This window comes from Homo sapiens, chromosome 15 (assembly GCF_000001405.40).
Source record: "Homo sapiens chromosome 15, GRCh38.p14 Primary Assembly".
Taxonomy (NCBI): Eukaryota; Metazoa; Chordata; class Mammalia; order Primates; family Hominidae; genus Homo; species Homo sapiens.
Window position 1 is genome coordinate 94,098,041 of NC_000015.10, and position 13,275 is coordinate 94,111,315.

At 40.2% G+C, this 13,275-nt stretch overlaps 2 long non-coding RNA genes across 2 annotated transcripts in view; both read right to left on the bottom strand.

The window, feature by feature from the left end:
* Positions 1–1,396, bottom strand: part of LOC105369203 (uncharacterized) — a 35,447-nt gene extending 34,051 nt beyond the window's left edge. Inside the window, exon 1 of the long non-coding RNA XR_002957694.2 lies at positions 1,217–1,396. This is a non-coding gene — a long non-coding RNA (uncharacterized LOC105369203). The remainder of the gene's footprint in view (positions 1–1,216) is intronic.
* The window catches only part of LINC01581 (long intergenic non-protein coding RNA 1581), a 202,536-nt gene extending 192,638 nt beyond the window's left edge, over positions 1–9,898 (bottom strand). The window contains exon 1 of the long non-coding RNA NR_120320.1: positions 9,839–9,898. This is a non-coding gene — a long non-coding RNA (long intergenic non-protein coding RNA 1581). The remainder of the gene's footprint in view (positions 1–9,838) is intronic.
* Between the last annotated feature and the right edge of the window lie 3,377 nt (positions 9,899–13,275).

Below are 13,275 nucleotides of genomic sequence, written 5' to 3' on the forward strand. Positions count from 1 at the left end.
CATGTGTTTGAACAACACAGATCCACTTGTATGTAGATTTCCCTCTGCTTCTGCCACTCCTGAAACAGTAAAAGCAACCCCCCACTTCCTCCTCCTCACCTACTCAGTGTAAAGACAAGGATGAAGACCTTCATGATGATCCACTTCCACTTAATGAAGAGTAAATATATTTTCTCTTTTTTATAATTTTCTTAATGACATTTTTTCTCTAGCTTACTTTTTTAAAGAATACAGTATGTGATGCATATAAAATACAAAATATGTGTTAATGAACTGTTTATGTTATCCATAAGGCTTCCAGTCAACAGGAGGCTATTAGTAGTGAAGTTTTGAGGAAGTAAAAAAAGTATACACGGACTATCAATTACAAGGGGTGTTGGCACCCCTAATACCCATGCTGTCCAAGGGTCAATTGTAATTTGATTGGCTCCACCGTATTGCCTTTCAGGTGTAGGCAACCAAGTGGCAACTGAACAGATACACCAATTATATCCACAAATTCAAGATGGGTTTTAAAGGTAGAGTCAATAGAATTTTCTAATGAATTGGGTAAACATTTAATCAGTTCAGTTCTTATTGTACTCCTATAGTTACAGTGCTATTGTTTTCATTTTCAAGATACTGCATTGGACTATGAGTTGAGGTACTTTATCCCCTATGGTGATAGGATTATACTCCTCTCTATCCCACTAATAACTATAAATTATTATTTTTGTATATTTGGGGTAAGTGTAATATGCACGGTATTTTTTCTAATATATGGGGAAAATAGTTACACTTTTCTATTTAACATTCTAGAAACAAGCATTGTGTTTTCAATTTTTCTTAATCCCACAATAAATAGTACTGAAACCTCCAAACTGAGGATCTTGGATATCAGTACATATTTGAATGCTTCTCATTTGGAATTTCTGAAAATCACCCAGACTACTGTTTCTCAAGCGAATTATGCATACAAATCACATGAAACTATTTTTAAAATGTGGTTTCTGATTCTGTAGGTCTGGAGACAGGAATTTCTGAATGGCTGGGTGATGAAGTTGAAAAACTGTTGCATAAAGCAGTGTTAAAACTGTAACAATTTGCCAAAAATTACTATTTAAAGACTTTGGGAATTGACCAAAGAACATATAACAAAATTTAGAAGCACTTATCTGAGAAAATCTACTGTGACATTTTAGCTAGGAATTTTTCCCATCTCTGCACCCCCACTCACCAATAGTATGGAGCAGAAGTTCCATCCAGACAGGCAGGACAGATCATAATGCCTGGAAGCTCTGCTCCCTGCTAGAGGAGAACTTGCAGCATTTGGAGCAGATAGTGGAAAATCCTCTTGTTGAAAACAAGAAAGCTACGAGTGGCAAACGTAACATAAACAGGGAAGGATAACATCAGCCTCAGGTCCGTCCTAGTTGGGAGATTTCACAGAACAGCAAAGCAGCCAGAAATGTAACAGGAAGATTTAGCTAAATGAGACGGACAAAAGGAACCCTGTTGAGATCCCACTTACACCTGGTCATCTGGAAGCCTATACACATGCACAAAGCTGTGTGTCCCTGCTTAGGAGAAACCACAGAAGGCTCTAGTGAGCTACCCACCACTGGCTTAAAATAAGACCTTGCAAATGCAGAACATATAAACCAAGGCATATTTGTAAGCTCCCTGGACTTTGAAAACATTCCCCAAGATGGCCCCAATTCTCCCTAACTTCCAGTATTCACATTCTTATGTGATTCCCTCCCTTGAGTATGGGCACGACTCGTGAATTGCTTCTAACAAATAGAGTATTGCAAAAATGACAGAATGTCACTTCCTGGATTATGTTACATAACATTTTAATGTCTATATTTCTAGGAAACTCTCTCCCTTTCTGGTTTTGATGGAATAAGTTTCTATATTGTACGCTGCCCTGTACAGAGGCCTGTGTGGCAAGGAACTGAGGAAGGCTTCTAGCTTATAGTTAGCAACAAACTGAGGCCATCAGTCTTGTAACCTACAAGGAACTGAATTCTGGTAACAACCATGTCAACTTAGAAGTGCATCTTTCACCAGCTGAGCCTTGAGGTGAGACTTCAGCCCTAGCCAATACATTGATGGCAACTTTATGAATTTCTGAAGCAGAAAATATAGCCAAGTCAAGTCCAAACCCCTGACTCACAGAAACTTTGAGATAATAAAAGAAAAAGAATGGATAGGCCACATAGGGGTAGGAGTGGTGGGGAACTGTGGAGTGGAGCCGCTCCCAGATACAAGATCTCCTGATCCTCAAGTGGCACCCTGTTGAGGATTTACCTTCCATCCATGGGGAAGTAGAAGCCAAGGGCGTATTCTATAGAGGAGGGCAACTACCTCTCAGCTTGAACTCAGGACTCTAATCATTCCTCAAGTCCTGGCATGTAACAGGGGCACTGTGGGGAACGAGCCATGCTCCCTTTAGGTTCATCAGCATTTAGCCAGGAAGAGTCACACATGACTGTGCTGGACCAAGGAAAGCCTGCAGTTTCATATTCTAGATGGTGTGTGTGTACACGTACTCATGCACACACCACAGGGTGAATTAAAAGGGCTCAGTCACAGAATAACTATGTTGATATCTGCTGAGAAAAGCAGTCTCGTGTACAGTCTTCTGACCCTCCTTGGCCACATAAGAATGGGCCATGAGCCTGGAACACTTCCTTACCAAGTGTGGGACTATTTTTCCCTGTTTCAGGCTCAATGAGTATCCCTTAGTTCTGCTTAAGTATGTATGTCAATGACCCTCAGGCATGTCTCCAGTTTTCTGTATTTCATATTCCTTGGGGTAGGGGTCAGAGTCCTTCTGTTGTGATGGGAGAGGAGTGTGTTTAGGTAAATTGCCCTACTTGGATGCCAGGGGTTGTGGGGTGGGAACCCTCTGGCCACGGAGGACTGACATGCCATTGAAGCTGATCTGGCTCTGTCTCTTCTCTGTGTAAGTAAAGCGTTGTCCCATCTGGTGCTTGACTGCTTTGTTTTCCTTGGCAACGTCAGTACCAAAATGCAATGGACAGAAGTGTTTGGATGTTTATTCCTGGTGGTTGGCATAGTGTTGATGATCTTCGCTATTCTCCATGTATTTGGAGTCTTTCCCTGGGACTGGTAACTGTTTCACAGTGCACTGTTCCATGATATCGTTTGTTTACTGATCCCAGTAGTCAGGGACAATACCTCTTCATTTTAGTTGGAATTCATTTGTTCAGGAAATGTTTGGGTAGCTGGCTGGTTGCGGCAGACATGTTGTGGTATAGCTTCACGCGTAAACTCAGAAGTCTCTCCCTGGCTAGCCTGTGCCACTGCCCATGGTTTAGAGCCAGGTTTGGGACTAGTACAAGCCATGAAGCACCCAGGGTGTGCAATTTAAGGAGGTGCTTGCTCTCACGTTGTGCAGGTGCTAGCGCCTCACTTGCCTCACCCTAGTCCCACCCTGATTAGTGTAGAATTTCCCAAGAGAACAATAACCCTTCAAATCATTCCAAGAAAAAAATAAGTCCTTTCAGCAAATAAATTTAAGAAATGTTACACAAATTATACACCATTAAGAAACTTACTTGTCGGCCGGGCGCGGTGGCTCACGCCTGTAATCCCAGCACTTTGGGAGGCCGAGGCGGGTGGATCACGAGGTCAGGAGATCGAGACCATCCTGGCTAACAAGGTGAAACCCCGTCTCTACTAAAAATACAAAAAATTAGCCGGGCGCGGTGGCGGGCGCCTGTAGTCCCAGCTACTCGGGAGGCTGAGGCAGGAGAATGGCGTGAACCCGGGAAGCGGAGCTTGCAGTGAGCCGAGATTGCGCCACTGCAGTCCGCAGTCCGGCCTGGGCGACAGAGCGAGACTCCGTCTCAAAAAAAAAAAAAAAAAAAAAAAAAAAAAAAAAAAAAAAAAGAAACTTACTTGTCAAAACTCTCTATTTAAACTTTAAGAAGTCTAAAAATGAAAGAAACCTGCTTAACTTTGCCTAAGCCAGCCCTTTCCAAAATTTTGGCTGATTTTTTTGTTTTTGTTTTTTTGCAAAGAATTTGTATTGAAATCCATTAAGTACACTCTGGGAAGTGCTAGGTTTCAGTTATGTTAATATGGCTTTAAGAATCATCAAACAAATGCCTCCCAGAATCTAACTGGTGTGCTGCCGATTTGGATAATTTCCACTTAACTATTTATGAAATCATGTAAAAGAGGCTTCCTTCCATTATTCCAGGGTCACTCACTCAGAAGTCTCATTCCCTTAGATGCTGTCACACCACTATGATTAGCATATTTCTTTAACTCTCATTATAGGTGTCTCTGTGTAATGAACATTCATTCTCACTGGATTCCATCAATGCTGAACAACTCCAAACCTACCCCCAATTCGGCTTTCAGACTGGCTTTGATCAGCATTTTTATTCATGATGAAATAAATAAGTTGACTTTACGATGAGCAAACTTGCCAATGACATGGATTAGGGAGAAACCAAAGAGCCAATTCATTTGACTCTTGGTTATAATCTTCTGAGGTGCAAAAGTAGCCGAATCTAATGAAGGAAATAAAACCATAATCAACACAAAGCTGTGCTATTGGTTCCAGAACAAATAAACCTATGAAACAAGAAGAGTAGAATCAGAATCGATATGCATAAAATATAGGGAAGTCTAAATATGGCTGAACATATAGGAATCTTTCTAAGAATATAGTGAAAACACACCATAAGGAACCAGGGAATCTTCTATCAATAGAAGTGTTCAAGCAAAATATTGTCTGCTGGGCGAATAACATGAGGCAAAGGATAATGAGTGAATAGGATCTTAAAGGATAAACTATAAGAAGAAAGAAAGGTAGTCTAGTGTAAAGCATGACCATCAGTGGGGCAGGCAGAAACCCCTTTAATCATCATTATACATGAATACAAAAGAGGAATCAAGAAGAAAAACTAGTGAATAAACAAAGTTCTATGATTGCTGACAGGATTAGAGGGAAGGTGCCCTTCCTCAATTTAATTGCAATATTGATTTCCATTAGCAGGCATGCATGCAAGTAGGACGGAAGCTGAAAAGGCACAGTTCACAGAGATGCCTTGTGTGTACACTTAGGGGACTAACTGTGCATAATTTATCTGAGGAGGCTTTTTTTTGGAATGGTTCTAAGAGTTGCTGTTGAAATTCCCACTCCCTCCCTCCCTCCCTCCCTCCCTCCCTTCCTTCCTTCCTTCCCTCCTTCCCTCCTTTCTTTCTTTCTTTCTTTCTTTCTTTCTTTCTTTCTTTCTTTCTTTCTTTCTTTCTTTCTTTCCTTCCTTCCTTCCTTCCTTCTTTTTTCTCTTTCTTTCTTTCTTTCTCTCTTTCTTTCTTTCTTCTTTTTTTCTTTCTTTTGCCTGTGAATCAAATCTAAAGTCTCCAGCAGAGTTTCTTTGTGATGAACTCCTCTCCCTGACACTAGAGACACTGTCAATCTCTAGGAAATGGATCCAGACGCCAAATACTGGGCATGGAGCTCATGCCCATGGTATGGTAATCAAGGGAAGAATTGGAATTGCACAAAGAGAGAAAAGGCCCTGCTTCACAAGCTCAATGACTTCTAAGAAGAGAAGGCAGACCTGTCATTCTCTATTGCCAGGATGTCTAGAACAGGAGAAATGGTGTTTGGTGGTGGAAGAGACTGGGTTAAGCCAAGGGAGAATTTCTTTATTAAAAAAAAACAAAAACTGATACTGCCCCATGTTCCTGGGTGCCTTAGGTATAAATTTTGAGGTTATCTGGATGAAATGCAGACCATCTCTTAGGGATTAATTTCTTGAAGTTTGCACATTCCTTCAGCATTGTTTGTGACATGATAGGATTCCAGCTCAAGGGCTCTAACAAAGTAGGTAATTCCAACATAATCCCCTTTCTTTAAATGAACTTCTAGAGATGATGCTGTGTCCCCTGAGATCACATGAGATGCAGCTTAAACCATTCCTCATCTGGAAAGAGTGGAATAAATAAAATAAATCATAACTGTTTGCATTTCTTTCCAAACAGAAGATTCCGTAAGATGGTGTATAAGAGGTTTTAACCAGGAAGTGTGAGGAAGAGAAGCCATAAATCACAAGCACAGTCTATGCACCAGGGTCCTGAATAACCTCAGCCTTGTCCTCTGAATGCCTGGAATTCAATAGCACACTGTGTGTGTGTGTGTGTGTGTGCATGCACGTGTGTGTGTCTGTGTGTGTTGAAGATGGAGGATAGGAAGACAGATAATGGGAGCATCCCTAATATGGTTTGGCTGTATCCCCACCCAAATCTCATCTTGAATTGTAGCTCCCATAATCCCCATGTGTTGTTGGAGGAACCCAGTGGGAGGTAATTGAATCATGAGGGTGGTCTTTCCTGTGGGGTTCTCATGATAGTGAATAAGTCTCATGAGATCTGATGGTTTTATAAAAGGGAGCTCCCCTGCACACGCTCTCTTGCCTGCCACCATGTAAGACCTGCCTTTGCTCCTCCTTCACCTTCCACCATGATTGTGAGGCCTCCCGAACCATGTGGAACTGAGTCCATTAAACCTTTCTTTCCTTTATAAATTACCCAGTCTCAGATATGTCTTTATAGCAGCATGAGAAAGGAATAATACAAAAACTCAAAATTCTTACATACTTCTTTTGCTGGGAGGAAGGCACGGGGGAAGAGGAAGGGCTGGACCTTCTAGGTAAGCATCAATGTACATATTGCAGGATGATCCTGATGTGTGTGATGGTGTTATAACTGGAAGCAGAAAGGATGTAGCATAGAACTGTGGCCCTGTGGAGCAGGGTTGGCTACCTACAAGTTATGGGCAGCTCAGGCAGTTGAGTTGTAGTGAGAATCTCAGAGGATCTGGTCTCAACAGGATAATCTGCAGTTCTAGGAGGCCTGTGTCTTCAGGGGTGTTTCTGTGTGCAATCCTTGGGGGATTCTATTGCCATGCTTTCCCAGAAACATTCTATCTATTGAATAAAAAAGAAAGTGGGGGTTCCCTTAAGGAGCAAGCAAAATGTCCCTCAATATACTTGGTCAGGGATACCCTGGAAAACTCTTAACTGCACCTTGTGGTGTTGTCCAGGATAGCAACATCTACTGAACTTCCTTTTTGCAAAAGGAGATAACAGTAAGGTGTGTGTGTATGTGTGTGTGTGTGTGTATATATATATATAAATAAATATATATAAATATATGTAAATATATATAAATAAATATAAATATAAAATATATATAAATATATATAAATAAATATATAAAAAATATATATAAATATATATTAATATATATAAATATATATATAAATATATATATTTAATGTACACATGTAAAATCACATTTTGCTTGTAACTTTTCTCTCCAAAAGGATTATCCATTCTTTTTGGCAAGGAGAGTGATATATTTTTTTGGAAAGAAAAGTTACATGTAAAATGAATAAAATTACTACCAGACATAAAAAAGTAGCTGCCTTTGTTTCCCATGGAATATTCCTGGCTCATGTAAAAATCTATTTTGAGGTGTCTGTGACCATGCCCTAACATCATCTGCAATCCTGAGTTTTCTCTCTGTTTATTAAATGTTCATGGCTCTTAAGAGAGCCAGGGCATACAGAAAAGTTAAAAGTGTGCACTTGTTCAAAAATGGATTTGAAAGAGAGGAAGAAATTCCAAAACTAATGATCATCAGTATGATTTTGCTTTTGGGTACAAGAGCCTGAATTATTGTCTGTCCTTGAAACCGACACTTAAGTGTTTATTAGCCTGGGCGGGTGCATGTTCCCTGACTAAGATGTTTCTTGAATGCCAAGGACTAGAGTAGCCTGTGCACAATCCAATCTTCCCTCATTATTCCTAGAAGATCCTTACAGTCACCTCAAGAGCTCTTGTTTTTCTCAGCCCAGCAGCTCTGATTTCCTTATTCTGTCACCAGTCAGATCTCTTCCCTGAAGTGACAGAGTCGGGGCAAGCTGTGAGGCATGTTGATAAAAGGGTGCGTTCCTATTTGAGCAGACAGGATGAAGGTGATGAAATAGAAAGGCATCCTTTCTGCTGCTCTGAATACCAAGCAGGAAGTCAGAGAGGATCAAAGGCAAATGAAGTCCACAGGATTTATGACAGGTGTGCTCAGGAGAATAGCAATCAGGAGGAGGAGATTTCTTACTCAGGGCAGCAATGGTGGTGGCAGCAGCACTGGGTCAACAATGAAAATGAAGAAAAACCCAGAATGAACACTGCTAGGTGGAACAATGGAGGCGATAAATATGTTCTTATTAGCAAAAGTGACCTTAAAAGAATTTGAATTGAATATACATGAGAATGAGTTCTTGGTGGTGGGATGGGGAAAAGAGAAATAAACCATAGACTCTCTCCATAGAAATAAAGTATACCAGTGCTGTTGGTATGAAGGAAGATGAAGAGGCACAGGCTCCTGACTTCAGTTCTGATGAGGAAATCCTAGAAACATTACCAGGATTTCCATTTCTTTCTTGGTTTGCAACCTAAGACACTAGGATGAGTTTGAAAATATCTTAATTTCTCCATAGAATCACATAATCTATGTCCTGTTTGAGGTTTGAACGTTCCTGTGTATTTTGGGGGTGGGCATGTTTCACTCGTAGAAAAGATTCTTCAGTAAAAACACCAATTTGCAAACCTCATATCAAATAGCGAACACCACAGCGCCAGTCATGAATAAGAATTCCTGCTCTAGGCCTTTACTCCGATCAATAATTGTGAAGGGTCTGAGATTTTATCCTACTTGAAAGCTAACAAATTAGCCTGCACAGTTTCATGGATGTTGGTAGAAAACACAAGACTCCTGGGTCAGAGACAAAAGACTATTTAACTCACAGCACAGCAAGCATCATCATCAGCAGCATTATTTGCATCAGTTTCCCTTGTCCACCAAGTCCCATGGGGCAGTGCAAACAAGACCAGATAGCTTCATGCACATAAGGTGCCCTTATCACAGGAAAGAAACCCTGAGCTGAAGATATCTAAATTTTTTATAATGAGGCGTAAGCATGTGTGTCCTTTGCTTGCAAAAAGTTACTATCTCTTTCTTCTAAGGCTGAACAAACATCCTTTCAATGATAGTACAAAATGAAGACACTCAATGTTTCTTCTCACAAGATGTGCAAAAATGCAAAATACCCATGCAAGATTGTCTTCCAGCAGGTCTTATGTCCAAACTTTACAGAAATTACTTCCCATTCCTGGATCTTATATTTTCATATCTTTAAAGGTATTAAACTGGATCAAATTCAAGGTCATTTCGTGGCAACAAAAACAAAATGATTATTTCTTTTTTTAAAGACCAACCTTGTGAAGATTCTGCTCTTCAAGGTCTTACAATCTCAGGTCACGCTTACCTTCAAATGATCACTGCTGGTTGGCATTTTAAACACAGGCACACACCAATTCAAAGTATCAGTACCTCCACAAGAGTGATGTTTCATTTCTAATTTTTTGTGGGAAAGCCCAGTAAAGTGGAAGGTAATATTGGGAGGAAAACTGAGCTGTGATTGAAGCAACACATATATCTTATTTCTTCTACCATCTCAGATTAATTGTAAATGCATTTTCTTTAATCCAAATACATGGAAAATAGACTGTGAGTGTAATCTCTGTTGAAAATTTCCTTACTTTTAATCTTTTCCCCTCACTCTCATTGTGAACTTGTTCTGGGAGTGAAATAATTTGTTGAAATAGAAACTTTGCAAGAGAAAGTTTGCTGATTCCTGCAAAAGAAGCCAGGTCATTAGGCAAAGACCTAATGCATCTGCTACCAGTGGCCTTGGTAACCTGCCAGTGTAAACCACAAAGTGCTCATGATGGTAGTGGCTTTCTGATACCTGTGATCTGGACAGCCATGCTAGTCTGCTGACACTGGATTCAGAAGGGTCACCTTTCATGTCTGGGTTTCCCCGACAACGTCAAAAATGCCACTGTTCCAGCTTTCAATTCCATAGAACCCTTGTCTATTAGGGTTTCAAAGCTCCATGAAAATCATTCATATTGGCAGGGCGCAGTGGATCACGCCTCTAATCCCAGCGCATTGGGAGGCCGAGGCAGGTGGATCACCTGAGGTCAGGAGTTCAAGACCAGCCTGGCCAACATGGTGAAACCTCATCTCTACTAAAAATACAAAAATTAACTGGATGTGGTGGCAGGCACCTGTAATCCCAGCTAATCTGGAGACTGAGGCAGAAGAATTGCTTGAACCTGGGAGACTGAGGCAGGAGAAGTTGCAGTGAGATGAAATTGCACCACTGCACTCCAGCCTGTGCAACAAGAGCAAAAAAACAAGAGCAAAAAAGGTGTCACACCTTTCCCCAAGGGAAGATTAGCAGAAGTTTACCTAGAAGCAAGCACTGAGGCCTCTGAGTATATAACATTGCCAGAACAGCTCTGTCCTATATCATTCTCGAGCTGGGCTCAGATACACCAACCCATGAGGCCTGGGTTAATTTTTTGCCTAGCTCAGTATTGGTGTGGATGGGTTGTGCCCCGGCCATCATTTTACTACCTACCATCCAATTATAGCTGTCTTCTATCTTTTCTCTATGTTTACTCTACTCTTATAACAGGTTTCTGCCTGTCATCCTCACAATGGGTACCAGATATCACCTTCTTCCTACATGCCTGCCAGAGCCAACATATACAGATACGCAGATTTTGAACTTCAGAATTCAGCAAGGCACCTTCAGACAGACTACTCACAGAGTTTTACGGTGCCCAATCTACACAACCACACCTGGTAGCGTTCCTGGCCTTTGTGAAACAATTTACATGGCTTTGTGCATATAATGCTCACAACAATCCCATTAAGGTAGGCATTATTATCTAAATTCTCACAAGAGAACACTAAGCACAGAGAGGTTACATTCCCCAACGATTCACAGCTACTACATAACCAAGCTAAGAGATATGTCTGGACAACTGCATCTGAGGCTTTCAAAAATTTTTAAAGCCAAATCAGCTTTTGCTCAGTGAAGCGTAAGCAAAAACACAACTAAAACAGAACAAAGTTGAGCAGCTTCCCTCTGATTTGTCCCATCTTCTCTTCCTTCCCCAGGCCCACTAAGGATTCCCAAGGGCTCTTAAATGATCCTTGGTTGCTGACTTTTTCTGGGCTAGACAGAGGAATCCACTGAACCCTTGTAAGGTTATTGTTACAAGGGTATTTGTACAGCTCTTGATAATCTCCTTTCTATACAGTCTAGAGCTTTCTACCTTCTCCCTACAATCAATGCTTCACGTCTCCCAGTTGCTGGCTGCACCTGTTCAATAGACTCTTTTTGTTGAGTTTCACTGAAGCCAAGATAAATGTGCTTCTTTGTTACCATCATCTCATTACAAATCAGACAGAATTCTCCAAGCCCCTTTGAACATGAACATCTGGAATACAGCCTACTTTCCATGCCTGGAGAGGAGCCTTTGAGGATACAGATCCCTCTAACTCCAGGCATTTGGGGACCCAACTACATCTCTCTTTGCACCCTCTCTTCTTGCTTAAATCTAAATAAGCCTCTTGGTCAAAAGCAGAGCCATAGTGCATCAGCACCAAGCTCCTCACTAAGAGAAGGCCTTTTTACTAATTCACAGAGCTCACTTAATGGTGAGGCTGGTTTTAGCCCTTGCAAAGTACATAAGGCATGGAAACATTTTCCCTTCACTTGGTTACCTCCTGACAACCCATAGACCCAAACAGTTCACTAGTCTGCCACTTCTCTGACTCTACAGGATGGGTTGGGTACCCCTCGGTAAACTCAGTCCTTCTCGCATCATAGCATTTAACTCTCTGTCTTGTGGCTCTCTGCGTATTTGTTCCTCCCCAACTAGACTCCCAACTCCAGGAGAAAATGGACTTTATCTTCTTTGTTCAACACTCTACCCATGCCCCTTGCACTGAACCTGACATATAGTAGGTGCTCATTAAAGATCAGTTGAGTGAATGAATTATTGTGAATTATTGGGTTACAAAGTACTAGTTAATGATTTATATTTCTAGTGGTAATAATAACTATGTATTTAGATTGGATTTATTTTTAATTTTTAAACTTGTATTAAGTCTGGGAAGATAATTTTAACTCTCCTCTCAAAAATGTAAGTAACATTTGTTCTTTATTGTTGGGAATAATAATATAAATGGGTTTGAATTCAGTTTGCAATTCAAATAATTGACCATCTGTCTGTATCTGGTTGTAATTTTGAATTTGTCAACCATCTAAGCAGATTTGAATAATCCTTTAATGAATCTTTAATTTGCTTTAAAGAATGTGTTCTATTAAACTTATTCTATCATCCATTGTAAAAAGTTATTTAAATTTTGATGTAAATGTAATGTTTGTGCTTTGTTTAAACAGTCAACAGTCAACATTTCACTGTCTGAAAAACAAGTCTGACAGCAAGTATCTATTTTTATTATTATCAAAAGGTTTCTTTTTACTTTTAAAATATTGAACTTAAATACCAAAATTTTAATTAAATTTGGCAATGTGTACTTTTGCCTTGATGTCACATAATTTTATCTCCTCTAAAATTCCCCAAACTAAAACCCTAAGGTTTTCTTCCTCTACCAAATGTGACTGAGGTATAGAGTTTGAATCTCGGATTACAGTCTTTGTTCTTTGCAAAAGAACCACAGGTGCTATAGGTAGCCTCTTTGATCTCTTCAACTCACAGCCCCTACTTAGGTACCCATAGAGGGAAATATTTGAGAATTGAGTTTTGTCCACTTTGACTTCCCCTTGACAAACTGGTTCTCACATTATTTCCAGAGACAAATATTTTGAAAGTGAAGAACACAAGAGGTCACTAAATATTAGCTTTCAAAGACTTCTAGTCACATGATATTTGCTTGGGTTACCTCTTCTTGGAGTCTATATAAAGAATGATGTTTACTCTTGAACACTCTTCGGTGCTGAGGTGCTGCTGGGCAAAGAAATATGCAGAAAAGAATGTAAACATGGTTGGGGCTTGCTTGGTTTTGTAGATGCAGAAACTTTTGCTTGATTTAGGCAAGTCAGAACACTGAGAAGTAGAGAATGAGAAACACATAAGACTTTAAAGGCAAAAATGGTCTTACATAAAAATCAAAAGAGTAAAACATAACGAACATCTTCCTAACCCAGATTTTACACCAGGTCTGAGTTGATTTCTCACTACAACTTAAGAGTACAGCTACAACATTTTCTACTGGTCTAAAATAACTGAGAATTATTTAATTTACCTTATCCAACAAACATGAAGTGATAGGCCTAGTGAATCAGAGTTTTAAGTCAATTAA